At 43.0% G+C, this 22891-nt stretch overlaps 2 long non-coding RNA genes across 7 annotated transcripts in view, besides 1 other annotated feature; one reads left to right on the forward strand and one right to left on the reverse strand.

Moving 5' to 3' along the window:
- Positions 1-9552, reverse strand: part of LOC105376568 (uncharacterized) — a 51914-nt gene extending 42362 nt beyond the window's left edge. For both annotated transcript variants that reach the window (XR_931075.3, XR_931072.4), the window contains exons 1-2: positions 9427-9552; positions 8130-8485 (exon numbers count right to left, since the gene is read on the reverse strand). This is a non-coding gene — a long non-coding RNA (uncharacterized LOC105376568). The remainder of the gene's footprint in view (positions 1-8129; positions 8486-9426) is intronic.
- Positions 1-22891, forward strand: part of LINC02751 (long intergenic non-protein coding RNA 2751) — a 152600-nt gene that overhangs the window by 61403 nt on the left and 68306 nt on the right. For 3 of the 5 annotated variants that reach the window (NR_169508.1, NR_169509.1, NR_169507.1), the window contains exon 1: positions 9930-10012. The exons of 1 other annotated variant lie outside the window; for it this stretch is intronic. This is a non-coding gene — a long non-coding RNA (long intergenic non-protein coding RNA 2751). Of the gene's footprint in view, positions 1-9929; positions 10013-10388; positions 10485-22891 lie in introns of those variants that run through there. One more of the 5 variants, NR_169503.1, reaches the window with a different exon arrangement.
- Positions 8132-8761: an enhancer, noted in NCBI's record as "NANOG hESC enhancer chr11:15643853-15644482 (GRCh37/hg19 assembly coordinates)". NCBI's record gives its function as "activates a minimal SCP1, AML or CMV promoter by ChIP-STARR-seq in naive H9 embryonic stem cells {active_cell/tissue: H9 hESC(naive)}" and the evidence as "EXISTENCE:reporter gene assay evidence [ECO:0000049][PMID:30033119]".

The raw sequence follows: 22891 nt of genomic DNA on the forward strand, positions 1-22891 counted from the left end.
CAACACAATCCATTTGGAATCATCAGTTTTCAGACTACTGATCTCCTTTCAGCATCAAAAGAGTTAAGATTCTTTCAGAACCAGACGCCTGAGCCACATACTGCTCCCTCTCCTTTATAGAGGCTAAGGCCTTGATCATTTCTTAATGTAACTACTTCAGGAAATTTGTTGCGCTAATAATGTTAATATGCCTTATTTCTACACTGCTCACGCCCTGAGCTCTCAATCACTTCAAAACACAGTGATTGAAATTTTTCAAAAGTCTTTGATTTCGAAGTTGTTATGTAGAACACTAGTCAAGTATAAATATGGCAGAGTGATTTAAGGCGGTTGGAGCAATCCAAATGTTTAAGCTTGTTTCAAATAATTATCAATCTTTCTGCTCTGCATTTTCAATACCTCCCTTCATTTCAAGGAGTGGCCCTCAGTGAGGCCTGGAGCATGCTGTTGAGGCTGCTGAGTGCCTCTCTGTTTCCCACACTATGTCACCTTGTCATAATCATGTTATTAAACCCTTAATGGCTTGTGCCGCTCCTGGTGTCTGATTCGGGTCACAGAGAGAACTGGTCACCTTGGAATCAAACACTCACTCCATGACTGGATTCATCCAAGCATAGTCCTTTTAGGCCACAGCTTTGAGGATGTGCAGCCTAAGGGATAGTGCCTTCTGATAGCCTTATATCAGTCAGTTCAGATGCCCACAGGGATGCAGGCTCTGGTGAACATTTACCTTGAAGTCATGAGCTCCAGATGGACCAGATGATGCTTTTATGGCCCGGACATCTCCTGTGCACTGCTGTTTATCTGCTCAGTCCCACTTCTTATTCTACTCCAGCCCCTCCCACCTCTACCAGTTCTGCTTGGATCTTGACCAGATTCTCTCCAGGGTTACCTCACAGTGCTTTTTTCACCTGGGTGCACATCATGTACTCCCTCTCCTGCCTTGGGGCTTCTCTGATTGAAGGGGAGAAGTAACCATGGGCCCTGCTTAGCCATATGCATGTGCAACTGTAAATGCAGGCAAGTAAATTACCCAAGGGCTACCCTTGACCAAAGGAAGTGATAGATATGTTCTCCCTTCATACTCCTAGTTGACAGTTTCAAGACACATTTCATGCAGCTTCTCCAAAGGCCCTGTGAGATGAGCATCAGTTGCTCACAGCAGCAGCCAATTCCCCACAAAATACTTGCACTAGCCTTCTCTCCTTTGCTATTCTACTCTGTCACCTCTCTTTCAAGTGTCTTCCACTCCTAAATAAAATGCAATTGCATTTGCTTCAGACTGTTTCCAGGGAAACTCAGGAATTGCCTGCATCCAGGAGCAATGGGCTCAGAAACATTCCAGGCCCAGAAACATTGACTTAGAGGACCAGAGCACATGAATTCCTGAGAACAAAGGGAACAAAGCCAGGGATGCCTTTGTGCAGAAGGACAAGGTGACCCAGTTACCCAAGCACAGACTAACCAGGGGGCAGAGCTATCTCAGCACAAAGTGTTTGCTTGACACATTATTTTTTCAGTGCCAAAGAACCAGTGGACAGGATTACTTTAGTAAAATTAGTACAGATGACAGTTACAGTACAAAGGACTAGGGGCCTGGGCACAATAACACCAATGAACACAATTACTTAAGATAGAAGCTTCAGGTATAGACTGCAGTTGCCCCCGTGTAGATGGACCAAGGCCTGGGGTTTGCTTGGCACAGAGTAACAGAGCCCCACGTGGCTGGGGTGGAGACTGGCCAGCCTTTTCCCTTCTGCCTTCTGCATCCCCACACACAGTGGCACCAACCATTGCTTCCACTGTTACTTGTGGAGTGCACATGAAGAACAGCATCAGATTCAGGCTCAGAGGATGGGAGTTAAGGCCCCTCTCTGCTCCTTCACTGCTTGTGTGACTTGGGTGATTCACTAAAACTGTCCAAGAAACACTTTCCTCCTTTATAGATGGGAAATAATAAATATGAGAGGATGGCTATTGAAGTCCTCTGCAAAACTGTAAAATATACACTTGAGGTTGATAATACCATTCAGTATGAAATAGCTGTTTTATGGAGGCTAAGAGGAACGTAAATTGATGATTATCGTTATTATTAAATAATATTTGCTTTTGCATAGCTCTGCTTTACAGTGTTTTCACTTGATCCTGTCCAAAACCTGCCTGGCAACTTGTGTCATTACGCCTCATTCTACAGAGGAGGAAACTGCCACTCAGAAAGCTCGACTCTTCCAAAACACTCAGGCAATGAGTGGCAGACCTGGGGAACAAAGCAGGACTTCTGGGCCCACGTCCCTTGCTGTGTTTCTACCCTGACATGCCAGAAAGGAGAGTTGGGCACCATGGTTCCATGTTTTCCAGCTTTAATTGGAATGATGCCGGGAGATAACTCCGCTTAAGAACGCTGAGATGATAGTGTTCTGTCTCCCTCTTCCCCGGGGCCATTCCTGGGTAGCACTCACATCACGCTGTCATGTAGAGAAGCTTCTCAGGCCTATATTTAAGTAATAAGACATGACAGGCTGTGTATTTCTGGGACATTATTACATGCCTGGGGTGGTGGTGGGAGGCTGAGGCTAAGGAAATTTCTTTGAGTGTTGCTTTGGCTATTATAAAATATCATGTATAAATCAAGATGGGGTGAGGGCTAGTCAAAGAGGCAGACAGTCACTTACAGGCGGTGCTGGCATGGCTGTTACATCACTGCCAGCCAATCCCACTGCTCCTCTTTCTTGCCAAATCCCCCAAGCGATTTGGTAATATGAGACTTACAAAGCATTCAAGTTCAAAGTCATCCTCAGGATTCTGAGATTGTCAGGGTTTGTGGAGCTGAAGGGTCAATCATCCCATGGGTGTCCATCTCCATTCAGTGGAGGGTGACCCAAGTGGATCTAGATGTAGAGGTTCTGTAAGAGACGGCCCTTCAGCAAACCCATACTTGCCATTGGGTAATTGCTGGATTTGCACGTCTCAACGTCTTATGGGTTGTGGTTGTGGTTTTACACTCTATTTGGGGGATAGGCCTTTACTCTCTGCCAGTCTAAATGACTAGCAGGCATTAAAGATGGCTACCAGGCTGATCAGAAACAGACTTCTAGGCTGTTTTGCAACTAGATCCCTGAGCTCTGATGTTTCAGCCAAGGTTAGGCAAATCCAGGCCACAAGCCTGGTTTCTGTGGGGCGTTCTCGTGTGCGGTGACCAGGCTGTGATTAGGAACAGCAATATTTTCCAGAGATTTTGCCCTCAGGGAACTGACAATCTGGAAGAAGGTATAAAACAAATATACTCAGATAAATCCAGTATGGGTAATAAAAAAATTACTAAGACCAAGTCATGTTTAGCTATATCCTTAGTGCATGATACAACATTGAAGATAACAGACTCTCAGGCAATGCTTGTTGAAGGGATGAAAGTGCCATAAGAACCCAAAGTGCTAAAGATGTCCAGCTGCTCTAAGCTTCAATTTTTTAGGCTGAATATAAAGAAAAGTGAGGCTTTCTTTCCCAGCCTTGCTTGTAGGGTTAGAGTGAGAATTAAAATAAGAGACTTTTATTGTAAGCTTTAAAGCACTACCCAGTTTTAAGTGAATGCAATGTAGGATGTGATCACACATCTGTCTAGCAGTAAGAGAGACAACTCAAAGAAAGGACTCTGGATAGTTTGGGGGTACATAAACACATCCAGCCTCTTTCTCCTATTCCCTCTCTGTCAGTGACTTGGACTAGACCTAGGCTGCAAAGAGGCTTCATCTATTGATCTTTTGGAAATGTCTGCCTCATATACTAAGTTGGGTAGGATGGTGAGATTTCACCTGGATCCAGATGGATCCATGATCCAGTGGGGCAGTGCCATGATCAATTAACAATATCTACCATGGACTTTGTTCAAGAAATAGCAGCATGTGTGCACTTGTTTTGCCATTTTTCACCTGGACCCTCATTTTCTCATTCCAGGTAACAGCCTCCTAGTTGGTCTTCATCTTCCATTGTCACACATTTCAATCCATTCTTACTTCTGCCACTGAAGTGGTCTCCTTCCAAAACATAAATCTGACCATGATATTCCCCTACTGAAATCACTCAGGGATTTTCTCCTTGTTCCAAGAATGTAGCCGAACTCCTCAGCAAAACCAGTAAAGCCCACAGTAACTTGATCCCTACCCTGCTAAATCATCTCTGGCCTGGAAGCCCAAACCTTACCCTCTAACCATACCAGGAAGGCATAGCCAGCTTTCTCCCCAGCACACTCTGAGCAGCTTAACCAGCCTGAGATCTTCTACTCAACCTTACTCTTCAGTGCATTTATTTTCACCTCTGTGAAATCTTCCGTTATCACCTTCAAGTAGAATTGATCTCTTCTCTTTCATCCCTGTAGCACACTATACAGATATCTGTTGTAGCATTTATCCTGTGTAAAAGGTATTTATTTGCTTGTTTACCTCCCTCACTAGACTGTGAACTTTGCAATACAGGAGATTATGTCTTGTGTATACATCTTTGTATTTATTCTAGGTACTGTGCTTGGCATAAATATATGCTCAATAAATATTTGAAGAACAAATAAATGAGATGAGGAATGTACTGAACTGGACTGCCATACATAGAGCCCTTTCTATGGGCTCTTTCCTCGTAAGTCACCAGCCTCGGATCTAATTGAATCTAGGGAGGGCACAGACCCAAGACAGCCATTCTGGAAGCTGGATTGTACCTTGTGAACTGCATAGGAGGAGAACTTTGATAAACAGAGTTCACTAACATGTTAGTCATGAGCAAACAAATATCTGAACTTGAGATATGGAAAGTCAGTTAATAGCAAAAGATAAAAGACAAAAGGAGAAGGCCAACTTGGTCACCATGAGACGTGAGAAGCTATGAGTAAACAGAAATGAGCAAGACAAAGATGAAATTTGCATAGAGTGCAAATAGGGTGATTAGATGGCAGCAGCAAGAGGGTAGAAGCAATCAACTCTGGTCTCTGAAGGACAGTCTCTAGAGCCATCTTGGATCCCGAACAACTTTCTGGTTTTCACATTTATTGCATTGTTCATTATGCCAAAACAACAGAATGTGTTTCTGCTAAATCTAGAGGGTCTATTCGGTATGGTCTAATTTAAACTACAAAGTACATTATTCAATCAATGGTGCAGATAGGATTCAAAGGCCAGAGCTCTTTCTGTTCAACAGTTGGACCTCAGAACTAACCAACGTTGGTCAAGAATGAAGCCCACTGGCTTTGGCCCAAAGTAAGGCCCACAGCGGCAGCAGCAGGGGTCAAATATTGGTAGAGACAGAACTACTGCCCAGTCTATAATGCCAGCTTCTCCAAGTGCTGGGCCCAAGCCTTACTCATGCAGAACTCCTCCAATATGCAGACATTGCTTTCTACCTGGAGGTTCTACCTCATCACCAAACTGGCCTGGAGAAGAAAAGATTAACCTCAAAAAGTTGAGTAGCTATTCAAATAACTGAAAAGCTGCTGTTTATGAAATGAAGAGCAGACATACACTCTATAAGTACTTCTGAAACTTAAATGGGCACACAAATCACCTGCAAATCTTATTGAAATTCAGATTCTAATTGAGGGAAAATGGGATGGGCTCTGAGATTCCTTATTTCTAACAAGCCTCCAGGTGATGTGATATGCTGGCCTGAGGACCATACTTTGTGCAGCTAGGCTCTAAGTAGCCCCTGAGGGAAGAAAGAGAGCCCTTTGGCAGATGCTGAAGTACAGGAGTCCTAGCTAAAGAACTTTCCACCTGCTCAGAGTTGTGTGGAAAAGAATGTGATGGTTCAGTATCATGACAGACCAAGCAAAAATTCGGCAACAATTTGGCAATTGCACATTATAGAGGAAATTTTTGCTCTGCATGGCAGATAGACTATCACAGTAAACTTCAAACTTTTTCGTTTATGTATGCCCTAAAATATTTTGATAACTATGTACCTACTTGACCATTTCTACGTCAAATGTTTAAAAGTATTTATTTATTAATAAAAGATAGAAAATGTTAGTGTATTTAAAATGAAATGAAGATTGACTAATTTAAACAAATGCTGCATTAGCACCAGCAGGTAAGCTCCAGAAGGCAGGGAATTATTTTGCCTGTATTGTTCACTGGCATGTACCCAACAGGTAATAGGTACTTGATCAATGTTTGTTGAATGAATGAAGGTACCCCAAAGCTGAAAGCAGACATGTGAAAATTTTATCCATGAGACTTATCTATAGTATCTCAAAATTTGGTAGCCCCACAAAATATTCCAGTTATATTTAAAAAGTGATTTTCTAAAAAATGTATCTTAACCTACACTGCTCAGGCTCTTCTAAATTCAGTGCATCCCAATCTTGGACAAAATACCAATGTTTTAATGTTAAATTTCATATAATACCTAACAGAATGATGATCAAGACAAAAAAAGATTTTTAAAAACCTAGAAATGTAAATTGTCTTCCTTAGTTTCTTTTTTTAATAACAACTTTTATTTAAACAGCATTAGACATCTCAGGGCTGCCTCCCTGATCAAAATCTGTCTGAACCTCCATCATCTTGTTCCATTTACACATCAGAACATTCTGGGGTCTGGGTTAAGACCTCAAATGCCAACTACATCTCTGAAATACCATAGAGTGCCTATTTTCATACTTTCTGGATGCCACATTATGCCCACCAGTGGAATTTCTCCTGGTGTCCACTCTACCTACAGTGGACAGACCAATCCCAGCTCTGATAACAACCAGCACTTTTCTTCCAGGATGGGCAGGCCTTTGAGCAGTGGCTGGTATCAACATGAGGCAGTGTCTCCTGGCCCTTCGAACACAGCAGCTTTTTACTGCCCTCTGACATCTCTCAGGCTCTTAACCTCCCTTTTTTAGGCCATCACTCTTACCTTTGGTAATCACACTGGCTTTCTGAACCCTGACCCTTTGGCCAATAGACCTATAGGTGGGATCTGCCCAAGTGGTCTTCTTCCTGCCTCCACCTGGACCCACGTCCAGCTCCTGTCCTATTTACATTACAGTGCAAACCCACAGCTCCAGAGCTTCCTTCACACTCTCCTCCCCTGTCATCCTAACGGAGACCCCGCCTTTGTCCTCTCTCTCCCCAGCCTTCCCTAAAGTCAGAGTTCCAGAAAAGCATCAGGAGCTTCCTGGACCCAGCCTGCTCATTGCAGTGTTGTTAGAGGGGAGATCCAGCCAGCCCATCACTGCCTTTCTTTTCCTCATTTATAGCCCATTTTTCTAGGCAACAGGTCAGACTAAGACCCTGATGGAGTGTTCCTCTAATAGACGGAAATGGGACTGAGACTGAACCTTGGCCAAACAAAAAATATTTTTGACTGTGCTTTAAAAAATTTTTTTGATACACGCCATAACTCATCAGCCTAAAGGAAAGTGGTGATATTCCAGTGTCCGATAAGCACATTAGACCAGCCCACAGATCATGGGAACCAAGAGAAAATGGCACTGCAGGGTTACATGAGCCTCAGACGTGTTCCCGGACAGAACAAGTGTTATTGTGGGATGACACAGACCAGACCTCAAAGCAGATGCTAGTTAGTCCTGTTCTCAGAGGAAAAGCCGACTGGAAATGGAGCTTTGAGACAGGGTCAAAAGCAGCAATGCTCTTTCTGGCTGGCAGCCCTCATCCCAGCCTTGTCTCCACAGAATCTCACTGGGAAAAAGACAGAACCCAGAAACATCTATGTGACTGTCTTTAGATTTAATCATGATTGATATTTGTCCAAGGAAGTGAATGGATCCAGGACGGGTAGAGAGATGTCTGATCAGAAGGCTGAGTAGGATATTTCCCAAATTTGCTTTCTGGCCCATTAAAATCTCATCAGGATAAATCTTTTGGGAGACCTAAGACAGTCACCCTGGAAGCATTTGGAACAGCAGATAGCTGGGCAAGAAAGAGGGTGTCAATTTAGATGTCTTCCATTGGATGGGGATAGTGGCAAGAACAAGACAAACAGAATCATCAGAGCTGATAAGAACCAAGAGGTCATCAAATTCAGCTTCTTGATTTTGGTGAGAAGGGGAGTGGGGCACAGAGAGAAAGGGGGGCATGCCAAGGTCACACTGCCACAAGGCATGGAGGAAGGTGAACAAGGACCAGCACTCAGCTCACCTGATGTCCAACCCAGGTGTTTTTCCTTGCACTGAGCCTTGAAGGACAGCCCAGGTATTGGCGAGGACGCTGCTTCCCTTTGCTGCTGCTCTGGAGCTGGGGAGAACGGGCCAGGTCCTAAATGCAGCTTTTAGGGAAGTCTCTAGCAGGTTGTCAAGTGCTCCTGCCAGTGCTGAGCTGGCAAAGGAAGGTGGGGAGAAGTGCTTAGAAATCCTGAGCACTGAAAGGTGGCCTGTAATTGTAAAATTCCATTTCCTTTCAATTAGCAGCTGATTGCATTTGATGAGCTGCAACATTGTTTCCTCGGTGTAGATTAGGAGTCAGAGCAGTCAATGAGCTGTGAAATTCTCTCCCTGCTGAAACAATAGACAGTGATTAAAGCGCAGCTAATCCGATCATTATAGCCAGAGCCCACTGATCATTAGCTGCTAACCAGATCCCAGAGAGCAGCTCCAACCCAGCCCAGGCGGACTGGATGCAGCAGGTAAACACTACCAATATGCTGCCTCCCTCCTCCCCATGCCCAAAAGTCCCTGGTGGACCCGAGGGTTGGGGCAAAAAACTGGATGCCACAGTGGATACAGGGAATGAGACTGCCAAGGGCAGCTTGATATCAGAGAGGCAGCCAGGACTTCAGAGGCAGAGGTAACAGATTTGGGATCATGTCCCAGCCCACCCCTCACCTCCACTCCCCAGTTTGTGTTTTAACCCTGCAGCTGGCATCAGTTATTTACCCCAAATCCTTTATAATGCCTTCCTTGTGTGGCTGTTCTGAGGATTAATACCACAGCCTAGGTAAGATCACTGGCATAATGCTAAAAGTCAGTAATAATGCTAACTAACATTTTCAAGTGTTTGCTACGTGCCCAGCACTGTTCTCAGGGCTTTGTATAGATTAACTTGTCTAATTCTCATAACAGCCCTGATACAGTAGATGCTATTATTATCCCTGTTTTTTCAATGAGGAACACATAAGTTCAGTAACTTGCACAAGATCACTTAGCCGTAAGAGACAGAGCTGGGATTTAAACTAGGCAAGGCAGCTCAGAGACCCTGCTATAAACCACCCCACTTGGCTGCTTTAAAAAAAAAATGCTAACACTCATTGTCTCCCTTTGCTAGCCCTGTAGTTTTCAAACTTTACTGTGCAGAAGAATTAGCCAGAGAGATTGCTAAAAATGCAGATCACCTGGCCTAAGCCCCAGAGATTTGGATTCAGGAGGTTAAGGAAAGGGCCCAGGAAACTGTGTGTTAATCAGCACCACCTGCAATGCTGATATGGTGACCCAGGACTTACCTGCGGAAGTGCTCTAGGTTCTGGGGAGCAGCCGTTTATCGTCCAGGACCCACATCCTCCTACCTCACCCAGGGCTACTGCCCAGCGCCTGATGAGGAAAGCCACAATTGCACTCACAGAGGATGAGAAAGAGGCAAAAAGCAGAGATTCTGGAACCACATGAAGTAGGATTTGAAAATCTGTTCCTTTTCTTACAGGAGTGGCCATATAAATTATCCAAAGCAGGACACTTCTGAGAGTAAAAGGGAAATTAATAATTATTCCCAGGCAATAGACATAAACTGAGACTGTCCCAGGCAAACTGGATGTGGGATCATTGTAGCAGATGCTGATGGTGACCTTAGTTCTCTGGTGCTGAGAGCTGCTTACCGCAAGCACCTGTGGAGCATGAGCAGCCTGAGCACAGGACAAGCAGGAAGGGTGGAGGGTTAATGTCCCTGAAGCAGCATCAACCAATGGCAGATAAGGGATCTATATATGAACACCGTAGTGTTCTTGCCTCTAGGATGGAATAGTAACTCTTAAGAGTGTTCTGCTCTATCTCCGAGAGTTCCCCAGCAAGACAGAGCCCCAATTGCTCATCATGGTAAGTAGCTGGATAACTCAATGTTTATCTTCTTTCCATTCTGTATTTCATGTTTCTCATCTTTACTGGTTATTTCATGGAGTCACCTTGCAAATGAATTGACACCCAGATCCTTTGCTCAGAGTCTTCTTCTGCACTCAGAACAGTCGACTTACCACTTAGGAGCCATGTGACCTTGGGCAAGTACTTAAATTTCAGCTTTCTTAAGAGTAAAATGGAAATAACAGTAGAGAATGCGTGTAAAGCATGGCATATGGCAAACACTTGATAAATGTCCAGTTCCAGTATTGTTATTATTGAATTGTTATTGCTCTGACTCACGTCGGAAGCATTTTTTCTCTGCTATCTTGCTGTTGCCTCTTCATCTCTCCTCCAGATTGTTGCAAACCTCTCTCATCCGAGGTGGCTTCCGCACCATGGCCAGGGTGCTGACCCCTTATTTCACTGCTACCATTGGCCTGCTGTATACCAGGCAAGTGCCAGGCTTTGAGAAATGGTAATATTGTGTTTTTTTTAATTTGTCTTGAAAAACGATTCAGAGTGGCTACTTCTAAAAGAGAACACATAACTTATTTACCAAATACAGAAGTCCAACACTTATATTGAAGAGCAATACCACGTAAACAGTCCTGAGCTAATCATCACTTCTCCTTTCAAATACCTTCCTTTGCCTGACACTGAACAAAGTCCAAACATAGCATTCAAGGATACGTCATAACCTTTAGCCTCCTGACAGGTAGGCTGACACTGCTTGCGCTCAGAGGCCTGTGCCTACAGGGAAAATGCCATGGAAACCCCTTCTGCCTAGGTCCCCCTTCTTCCTGCTTTTCTTTCAAATAAAACAAATGTGAGGTAGATTACCTACTCCTTTTAATTTTTTGCCAAGCACAGTTGAACAGCTGATTTTAGTCATTTCTACCTATGGTTTCCTCCTTAGAGCTAATTAGTTTCTTTTCAAGTAATTGCAAATAGTACATTTTCCAGGCCCTTGGAGTAGAGGCTGACAACTAGCTCGCTGGAGTGGGCTCTTATCAATAGCTCACGGAAATTAGACACACAAACATCACACTGGGGCCTCTGAGGGTTGCTCTAAGTTGTTTAGAAGAAATAGCTCATGAAAGTCCCACGGTTCCTTTATGAATGGACTCGCTGATACAAAATCTCTGGGATGTGGTGGGCAACAGGATAGTCGGAAGCTTTCCTAAGCATCAAAATGGGCTCAGCTCTATACGAGATCACAATTCACTGTGCTCCAGGTACTGTGCTTGGTGCTGTGAGTGAGTCAGGAACAAGGGTTGAGGCTAGAGGCAAGGGGGAGAGAAGAGAGAGGGAAGGGCTCTCTCTGCAGGTTTAAAGAAGTGGGCAATGATGTTCACTGGAGGAGGAGACACGCACAGGATTCGTGGGATTATCATCATTATTATCAATCATTCCCCTGCACCAGAAAGCCAGTCCCAGTATCCTGTCCTCCAAGAACCAACAAAGAGATCATGCTTATAAGGTTCTTACTTTGGTCTTTAGAACACAATGAATGCTTACTTTCAGGTCCGTGGTTTTCCATGGAATATGGTTTTATATTTTCAGAGTGTTTCTTTTCTTGTTCTCTCCCTTCAATTTGAACATTGTTGTTGTTGTTGCTGCTGCTACTGCTGTTGTTTTGAACCTTAGAAGAGAAGAGCTGAGTCATTCAGACTCCTTGGTTCATGGCATGTTGGTTACCCCATCAGTCCGTGTGACTCCCTCTACCCTTGTATGAGTTTCCTGTTGCTTCTGTAACAAGTTGCCACAAACTGAGTGGCTCAAAGCAACACAAACATATTACTTTACAGTTTTATAGGTGGGAAGTCCAACTCAAATCTCACTGGGATAAGATGAAGGTATTGGCAGGGTGCACTCCTCTGTGGAGGCTCTAGGAGATGATCTGGGGCAAGGTGAAGGTATTGGCAGGGTGCATTCCTTCTGTGGAGGCTGTAGGAGATGATCTGTTTCTTTGCCTTTTCCAGATTCTAGAAACTTCCCACTTTCTTTAGCTCATGGCTCCTTCCTCCAACTTTGAAGCCAGCAACTTCGGGCCTAGTCCCTCTTACACTGTCTTCTCTTAGTCATATCTTCCTTTGACTCCTGTTTCCTTCTTCCATTTTTAAGGACCTTTGTGATTACATTGAACTCATCTGGATAACCCAGGATATGCTCTCTGTCTGCTGATTAGCAACTTTAATTCCATCTGTAACCTTAATTACCACTCGTCATGTAACCAACCAGCTTCACAGTTTCTGGGAATTCAGACGTGGACATTTTTGGAGGAGGGATGTTATTCTCCTTACCATAATCCCTAATCCTACACCTATTCCCTGTCCTCATTGACATCTACTCTAACGTGCTTGACATATGCCCTGAAATATGCACGTTTCCTTGTAAATATGCCATTAGTGTATATGTTTTTAATTGACATATTGGTATTATTCTATGTTTAATCTATGGTGTTCTCACATGCTTTTCATTCAACACTATGTTTTTAAAGTCTCCCATGCTGTTCTGTACACATGGAGTTTGATGGTTCTAACAACTGCATATTATTTTGTAACATCTACTTCATTTTACGTATCCAGTTTTCCACTGATGGACTCTTGTATTGCCTTCACTCTACTCTGAGCTTTATCCTGACAGACTTCCTTGCTCAGGGTCCCAGTTGGACCCACATAGGAATTTTTCTAAAAACTGAACTAAGGCTAGGATTTCTGGGTAACAGGGTAAAGACTAGGATTGCTGGATCACAGGATATATCCCTACTTAGTTTCACTAAGCTCTCTTGACTGGTTGTACTAGTTATACTTGGACTAGTAGAGTTGTTAAATCTCATTACTGTGATGGTGATGCAGTGTCTTCTTCTGTCCAACCTCTTGCCTGGGAGCAGAGCTGAAAGCCTTTTCTGGATCTCTCTCCTGTATATTTTTGCTTCCTAGACAAGCTTCAGAGCCACTAAATAAACTTTCCTCCAGCTAGCACTTGCATCTCCCTCCACTCCTCTTTTCTATGTGTTAGCACCGTGCTGGGCACAGGCCTCCATCAGAGGAGTCTGTTCTTTGGCTATGCAGGCTCAGAGTTTTATTTCCATTCCTTCCCCTCCATCCTCGTGCCTCTGGACTCTGGTTTTATTAATTTAACAAGGAGTTCTGGAGCACTTACTGGCTCAAATACATTACCCCCTTCTCCCCACCCTAGATATTTGGGATATCAAAAGAAAAACTAAGGGGCTTACATTCTGGTGTCCTGTCAACTCAATTGCAAAAACTTAGCCAGGATCCATTCACTTCTCCCCAAAACCTACCTAGTACAAGCAAACAGCATTTTTCACCTGGACATTTGCATTTGTCTCCTACTTGTTGGTCCACCTGCTTCCACTCTTACCCCACCTAGTCCTTTTTCCACACAGCAGCCAGAATAAACATTTAAAAATGTAAATCAAATCCCATCACTCCTTCATATCTGCTAATAGTCCATTGCCTAGAGAATGAAATCCACATTCCTCAGCCTGGCTTACTAAGCCCCATGGCAGCTGGCTGCTCTTGGTCTCTCTGACCTCATCCCTTGTCACTCTTTCCTTCATTCACCATATTTCAGCCACATTGGCCTTTTTCCATTCCTGGGATAGGTCAAGCCTGTTTCTGCCTCTCAGCCTTTGCAGTAGTTGTTCCCTCTGCCCAGAATGCTCTTCCCTCCAAGTTGCTGAGGACTGGCTCTGTCCCATCATGCATACATTGATCCTGTTTTAATTCTCTGGATGGCACTTTTTATTTGCTAGCACTACTTATTTATTAATGAGTACATTGCCTGTATTCCCCTGTACTGTGTGAACTTCATGAGAATGATTTTCTCTCTCCCGTTCACTGCTCTATCAGTACCTTGTATACTACCTAGCACAGGGGTGGAGTTCAAAAATGTGTGGGTTTTTTTTTTTTTGAGGAATAAGTGAACAAATGAGTCTAAAGCAGTGGTTCTTGATCTTGACTACCCATTAGAATCATTTGCACAAAGCCAAGCTCCACATAGACCAATTGAATCAGAATCTCTGGGCACAGGGCTCAGGTATTGGCACTTTTTAAAGCATCCAGATAAGCATTCACCTAAGGCTCTGAAGCAACCCTTTGAAGATGAGAGCCCATCTCAAGCAGGGCAACTTAGAAAACTTCCTTGGGATTTTGTGTGCAAACTTTAGAAAGAAAAATTTTCTTTTTCTTTCTGGTGTTAGCCGAGATGCTGTAAGCCTCCGGCTGTCTGCCGCCATGTCAGCCGACACCACCACCATTCCTGGGTGCACGGAGGAAGGCAAGCTGTAGGAGGAAAGAATAGGACCAACTCAACAGAGGAGCTGAGCCAATTCAAAGGGGAGGGAAGGCATGGCAGGGAGGAGGAGGAAAAGTGCTGATGGTGTTGTGGGAGACCCTGGAGTCTCTGAGTCTAGCTCCACTTAAATTCTCTTCTCGGCTCAATTTGGCAGGGGTTAGGTTTCTGTCATTTGCAACTAAAAGGATCCTGACCAATACTTGATCAAAGCAAATAATTGTGGGTCAAGAAAAGATGATTTAAATGGGATCCAGAAGACAGAATATTAAGGCAGTGCCTTTATCAATAAATCCATAATTCCAAATATAGCCATTTGCTAAACCAGAAGGAATCCTTTGCTTCTCTTATTTCAGCCAGTTAGTCTGTTTACAAAGTGTCACAGTTAAGCACTTCCACAGCCGCATGAAAAGTATTAGATCACTTACTCTTCTCAATAAAGGGAACAAATTTGTGATGGACTGCACTGTGCATTCATCACGGGACACTGCATATGCCAAGCTTTCGGTCCTGAGGGGTTCCTCTCCCAGCCGGGATACTGAGAGAACTCAGCAAAAATGGTTGAATGCTGAGACCTCTATGATTTCCCTGTCCACCCCAATTCTAATCACAGGGCTCCTTTTGAGCCTTCACAGGGATGCTGAAAGGGTAGAAACTTTCGCTACAGAGGCCCTGACAACCCTGTAAGGTTGCACCTTGAGCAATGGAGAAATAGATCAGTAGGAAGTTGCCCAAGATGCCAGTCTTCAAGGGGTACCAAACGGAATGCTAAAAGGTTTTGAGAAATGGAGGGAAATCAAGGAAATTGTATTGGAGAGAAGTCCTCTCAAAGAGAATACTGTGTATGATTGAAAGGCACAAAGCTATACAGAGAAGATACGAGGCCTGGCACACACTCTTGGAAGTGCGTGCCTGAACTCTTTAAGCCTTCAAGACTGACAAGCCCTGCTCCACAAAATCCCACAGGCCAAGATGCTTTATTTCTGCAATCTTTCTGCATTTCCTGAAAGATAAGCTATATAAAAAAGAGAAATAAATGGTGACATTCCCGGGAAGATTTCCTGCTGGCTTTGACTTTGCATGGAGGCACTGAACAGAGATGGGGCACATAGAATCACACAGGGAAAGTATGTAAACCGGGTCTCTAAGCTGGAGGAAACACCCAGATATTCTATTACCATTTTGTTAGGCTCCTGCCACAGACAGCCGCTGTGTTGTTTAATAGAGTAAGCCCTAGCATTAGCCCAAGTTAGAAGGCAACTGTAGCTGATTTCTCAGACTTCTGAGGCTTCCATCTCTCTAGGGCAATAGTCAGTGGCTGTGTTGTACTATAGAGAGCTGTTGAATTGGATAGCAATCTGCAGGGGGCAGCAGCGAGACAGATATACCTTAGGATAGCTCCAAAACAAAAGAATATTTGATAAGCCTCTCAGTAAAGCGTAGGACCTTTCCCAATGCCCTGTGCTGAACAGCATCCTGAGAATAGTGGGTTTGGTTAGCTGGGGGGCTTCATTTTGCTAAGGGAGGTATGCACGTTTGGGGCTAGGCGGAATAGTTCAGTGTGGTAGAGGAGAAGCAGAGCCCCACCCCTGGTAGTCTGCACTCTTCACTCTTTACCCTGTAGTGATCAGCTTCCCCAGTAAGTGTTGAACGAATATTTCAAGTCTGTGGGTTTGAAGGAAAGTCAGAATCTTACCTGCCTGAGGAGCCCCATAATTTGTTCTGTCCTGCTCACAGACATTCAACAGCCTCCTCACACCTGAAGCCTGGTGTAGAAGGGAAGGGAAGGGAAGGTGCATTGTCATTCTTCCCAGGACAGACACAATGAAGAAAGTTGCACCTCAGCATATCTGATTGTTTCTTTTTTGCTTTTTTATTTCTTATATTTGAACCTGAAATTATCCCTTGTCTATTACCACTGCCTTCCTGTAGGTTTTCTATTAAAAAAAAAGTGGCCGTATTTTGTCAGGGCTAAAACCCGGGTAAGATTGTCCACCATTAAAGCCCTAAAACTCATCTAATATAGGACTCTTAATTTGATAAGCTCTTCCAGACCTAAACCCACATCATATATTCTATGATCAATAAACTGTAATGAAATTCCAAATAAGCCCCTCCCCATGGAGCACCAGCCTTCCAGTTTGGAAAGTAGTGATCTGGTGGTTTCATCATTCTCCATCATTAGCAGAGGATGCTGTAGTTCACTTCCCACATCCTGACACCATATCTTATGCTCACTCCCTTGTTTAACACTAGATCTCTAATGTGCACATATACACACACACTTGCATATATAAATCAGTACAGATAAAGATCTATACAAAACAAAACTATAAAACAACTAAAGAATATGAAATTATTGTTTAAAAATCATGGACATGCGATATTTATTTCCCTCTTTTCCCAGTGGGATCTAAATATCCTCTACCCCAGGTCTCTGGTGTTGGCCCTGCTACTTGCTTTCCAGTAGAATGTTAGTAGACACATAAAGTATTTTGTGCATCAGCAATCACCATGAAGATAACATGCCCAGCTAGTTCACTGATCCCAGGAGGACAAGGGCCACCTGGAGCAGAACTGATCCCAAGCTACAGCTTAAAGCGAAGCCCAGCCAAGCCCAAGTGGTATCAGCTAAAACTCAATCCTCAGACATATGAATGAGAATAAATGATTGCATTTTAAAGCCACTACACTTTTGGGTGGTCTGTTATACAGATTTATTGTGACTATAGCTAAATAAGACAGAATGATATTTTCTGAAGCAAGCTATGAAAGTTCAAAGTCAGAAGAGAAAATGCTGACAGAGGTGACCATGTCTATTTTTAAAGCTGTATATGGATGTTTAAGAAAACAGCACCATAAACAAGCTTAAAAATTAATCTGAGCCAATAATTTAAAAAGTGTCTTTAGCAGATGAAGGTGAGATGGAGGAATGGGAAAGAACAGGATGCGTAAAATATATCTGTAGTAATGAACTTTGTCCCTTTCATTCGTGGAACATCGTGTCGCTGGTAAAAGGAATGAAGTCAGTCATTCAGGACTCACCATGGAAAGATGTTCATGCTGAATAGAAATTTCAGGATATGTGATTAGTAAGACAGTATCTTGAAAAGGGATTTGGAGGGAAGTCCACTATATTTGTTGCCCCTAGGGACTGGAATTGGGGGAAAGACAGTGAGAATGGGGACTTTCAATTTGGCTATGTCTATATCTTTGCATTCTATTCTAATGACCATGTATTAGGTGGGTGTTTGGTCTCAGATATCCTTTTGCCTAAAAGCTCAATATTGTAATAGCACCATTATTATATGGTGATCCAGCCATATATATAGGATTTCCGACAGGGACAAGAAGCCTACTACCCTCTGACATAGACCTTTGGATGGATTTATTTTTTAGAAACACCTCCAAGTATTTTCATACATTTACATAAAATCTGCTGCTCTTTCTCCTAACTTCACTTTAACTTTCCTAAGATAGAGACTACATCTTATTTTTTCTTTATTTTCAACAAGTCAGGTATAGTTAAGTATATTTACTGGAGCACACAGATATGAGGGTGCATACCTTCACTCTATAACTGTTGACTCTCAGAGGTTCAGGGGAGATCATAGACTATCCCATTAAATCCCTAATGCCAACTATTTCACAGAAAAGGAAAATGAAGCCCCAGAGGGACAGGTCTCTGAGCTGTGAGATCAAAACCAGGACTCAGAAGAACTAAGCCAAATTGCAGCCCAGTCTTCTTTTCTTTCTTCTACCAGCTAGCTCCATAGTCCCAATTCTTTTTTTTTTTTTTTTGAGACAGAGTCTCACTCTGTTGCCCAGGCTGGAGTGCACAGACATGATCTTGTCTCACTGCAACCTCCGTCCCCCGGGTGCAAGTGATTCTCCTGCCTCAGCCTCCCAAGTAGCTGGGACTACAGGCACATGCCACCATGCCAGGTTAATTTTGGTATTTTTAGTAGAGACAGGGTTTCACCATGTGGCCAGCATGGCTGGTCTCAAACTCCTGACCTCAGGTGATCCGCCGGCCTCAGCCTCACAAAGTGCTGGGATTACTGGCATGAGCCAACGTGCCCAGCCACAATAGTCCAGTTCTAAAGACTGGTTGGTCTAGGGTCTGAGAAGGCAGCAAGATAGCAGGATATATGACAAGAGCATGAGCTTTGGAATTAGACAAACATAGGTTCAAATCTCAGTTCTGGGATTTGCATAAACTGTGCCATTGGCCAGGTTGCTAACATTTCTGAGTCTCTATGCTTTCGCTTATAAAATGGGAGGGTAATAGCTATTAAACAGAGTTATTGTGAAAAAAAATGACATAAGATTTATAAAGCACTCAGCTCAGGGCCTGGCAGAGAGTAGGAGCTAATTAAATGTGAATGTCATTCCCTTCTCTGTGGAATATCTCAGTAGCTAAAACACTTCTTTATGCATCAAGGAATTAATACCACTGTTAAGAGATTAATTCACAGCAATGCACATGAAAACAGTGATTCAGATCATGGCAAAAAACTATAATTAAAGTATCTGGTATTGTTTGATTACAGGGTTGGCTTCACTGACTTTAGCACTTTGTGGGCAGAGAGCAGGCAGCTGAGAGGCAAAGCGTGGCTTTGTTTTCTGGGAGGTTTCTGACCACTTCCCAGGTCAGGGTGGGGATTACTCTTCTGATCCTTGTTTTGCACTGAAGTGTCTAAGCCTTAATGGGTTGACATAGAGAGGGGAACTTACATTTACTAAACATCTACTATATGCCAGGCCCTTTAAATACGCATTCTCACTTTATTTTCCCAGAAATCCCAAAAGGCCAATATGTACAACTACATTTGATAACCAAGAATGCTGAGGCTCATCGGTAAATTCAATAAGTTGCTTACGATGTCATCCCCAGTTAAGGATGGAGGTAGGGTTTAATTCAAGTCTGCTCAACTCCAGAGGCTATGTTCAATTCAATACAGAGGCTACCTCCTATTTCGGGCACAAATTTATAGCTAAGTATGTAACAGGCACTGTTGTAAGTACTTTGAGTGGTACAGCTAAGACTGCTAGTTAACTATCCACTTCCATTCTCCCCTTCTTTACTAACAAAATCCCAAATTTTTATTGTGAGTAGCAAATGTCTAACCACAGATCAGCATTTCCCTGTTTCCTTGGCAGTTCAGGAGGACCCAAAAGATCTAAGGAAGTGTTGGTTGGAACTACCAGGAAAAGTCCTGAAATAACCCATGTGAGAGGTATGACTTCATGTCCTCTGTCCCTCCACTCTTTCTTTTTTTTTTTTTTTGGAGACGGAGTTTCGCTCTTGTTGCCCAGACTGGAGTGCAGTGGTGCGATCTCAGCTCACTGCAACCTCTGCTTCCTGGGTTCAAGCAATTCTCCTGTCTCAGCCTTCCGAGTAGCTGGGATTACAGGTGCATGCCACCACGCCCGGCTAATTTTTGTATTTTTAGTAGAGACGGGGTTTCATCATATTGGCCCCCCACCTTTCTTTCTGCATCTGGTCTAGAATGTGGACTGAGAGTTGGTACCTGGCAGCCATTTTGAACCATGAGGTGCATGAGGCGACCTTGAGAATGAAAGTCAGTGCTAAAAATGGTGGAGTAGAAAAGTAGAGGTAGCCTTAGGCTCCTGACAACCGTGGAACTGCCTTGTCAATACTGGATTGCCAATCTTTAAAATTATTTTAAATGAGGGAGGAATAAGCCTCTACTAATTTAAGTTACTTTTCTGTTGCTTTTGTGATTATACTTGAATATAATCTTAACTGCTACACCTATAATTTCTTATTTAATCCTCCAATAGTTTTATGTGGTAAGTATTATTTTTATTCCTAAGTTTTTCAGGTGAGATAATTGAAACACAGAGAGGTTAAGCAACATGCCCTAGATCACTGAGCTAGTATATAAAAGAGAGTGGGTTTGAACCCATTCCAACTTCTGCAACACTCATGCTCTTAATAATCGTATTAGACTGCCTAGTCAGACTAGACATCAAAGACTGTTTTCCCCAAGCTGAAGAACTTTCATGTCTCAGTGGAATTTTCCTTCAGAATCAAACTTTATTTCTGATGGCTTGAGCCCTATTTGCATCTGGCATGAGGTTAGTTTTTCACTTTGTAAGAAATAACATTCTAATGGGTTTTTAAGGGCCCAGAAGACTTGTTAGCCATTCCCTGGCTGCCGCAGGACAAACTCATTAAAAACATCTGAACAAAACCAACAGAACTTGAAGGGCAACAAGAAAATGAAGACACTCTGGGGGTGGGGTTAGAGAATCCTTATGGTAAATCACAGATATTAAAGGGTCCACTCACTCAACTGGAGGTGGAACTCTGTGACCAAGACATTTCACCCGTTTGCATTACAGGGTCTCATAGGTTGGTAACAAGAATTGCAGTCACTTACTCATCTTATCAGAATTTCTGTCAAGAAAACAATTTGGATATCCCTAGAGTTTTCTCTTAATGGGATTTTACCTCTGTGGAAAAGGGTTTGATAAGTAAATGAATGACGCAAACAAAATTGGAGGAAAAATGTTTACTGAGCTAAATTATTTTGCAACCCTGGAAAAGTACCAATTATAGGAAAATACGGTTTATCCAGAGTTCTATCAATTGGGGTTTACTATTAATTTGATCTGTAAAATGGGGATAATCACACTGATGTCTCAAGGTGGTGGCAAGGAACATGCGAAGTACACCATATGGAGGTGACCTAGCACGGCAACTACCACAGTGATAAAAATACGTTGAGATATGCTTGCATTCTTTTATGGGGCTCTGAGGACCAAGGACTGGCCACTGTGTTTCTCTTCCGGCCTTTGGGGAGCAGTCTTTAGAACATACAGAGACCGTTTAAAAAATAATGAACAGAAAAAAGCAATAAACTCTCCAATGCCCTAAACAACCCAGACGCAGAGCAGTAAGCACTGGCTCTAGTATCTGCAAATAACCTTGCAGATTTTCTGACTACCTGGTTTTCAGAAGCCCACCTAAGTAAATCTCCTAACCCCTGGATCATGTCAAGAGGCAGCACAGCACAGCAGTGAACATCTTGGCTCCAATACCAGTTGACCTGGGTTTAAATTCTTGCTCTTTACTTACTTGGCCATTTTAGTTAAATATTTGTAAAATGGGGTTAGTAATACCTATAGTTGACTGTGGTGAGGGTTCAATCAGATAATACACGTAGGGTGCTAGAAGAATGTCTAGCACGTAGTTAGTGGTTAATAATTAGAGGTCAGTGTTAATGATTATAATTATTAGTGCAGAGTATGGCATAATTTCCTTCTTCCCCTTCCTTCTGTGACAGCTCCATCATGGTGGGTCTCAGTCTTGTGTGGTGGTAGCAAAGTAGGCTTCATAAGGAAGTCAGGAGCCTAGCCCATAGGCTCTATGGAGATAAAGGCCCTAATGAAAGATCTGGTAGGCTTCCTAGAAAAGATTAGAGCGTAAACTTTGGAACCAGGCATACTTGGGTTTAAATTCTGATTTCTCTGATGACCAGCTGGCTCTGTGACCTTCAGCAAGATCTCAGGACCTTAGAATGGACATGTACTGTCATGTATTGCATCCATGGTCATGATGCATGGTCCATTTTGGTCAATGATGGACCACATATACAATGGTGGTCCCATAAGATTATAGTACTGTATTTTTTACTATACCTTTTCTATGTTTAGATATATTTAGATACACAAAACTTACCATTGTGTTACAATTGCCTACAGTATTCAGTATAGTAACATGCTCTACAGGTTTGTAGCCCAGGAGCATAGGCCATACCGTATAGTCTAGGTGTGTAGTAGGCTATACCATTTAGGTTTGCCTAAGTACATTGTATGATATTCCTACCATGACAAAATCACCTACTGATGCATTTCTTGGAATATTTCCTTGTTGTTAGGTGGTGCATTTAACATGGTTGTTAAATTTTTACTAATTGAAGAGTAAAATCTCAAGTAAAAGAACTCTTCCTTGTTCAGCTTTAAACTTTGTAACCAGTGGTCTTGTCAATTGCAAGGTTGTTCTGAGCTGACAAGCTAGTTAGAGAAATGGTCCGTATGCTTTTATTTGGAGGAGGACTGCATAAAAAACCATCTCAAACTTTAGTGGCTTAAACCAACAACCATTTATTTAGCTGATGACTCTGAGGGTTGCTAATTTGGTCTGGGCTCAGCTGGGCAGTTCTTCTGCTAGTCTCAAATGGGTTCACTCATGTGTCTGCAGTTAACTGCCAGTCAGTGAGGTGACTCTGTTTCTGGGGATTAGCTGGCTATTGGTGGGGCCATGGAGCAACATTCATCAAGCTAGAGCAGGCAGTCATGGGGTTATGGGAGATGCAAGAAAGGATGTCTCAATACACAAACACTTCTCAAGATTCCTCTTGCATCACAATGGCCGAAGCAAGTCACACAGCCACAACAATAGTATAAAGGGAACTTCCCAAGGGTGTAGGATGATGTGAACAATTCGAATCCATTACTGCAACAATTTACCACAATCACCACAGAACATGTTTTGGGAGAAATAAT

Source organism: Homo sapiens, chromosome 11, assembly GCF_000001405.40.
Source record: "Homo sapiens chromosome 11, GRCh38.p14 Primary Assembly".
NCBI classification, from domain to species: domain Eukaryota; kingdom Metazoa; phylum Chordata; class Mammalia; order Primates; family Hominidae; genus Homo; species Homo sapiens.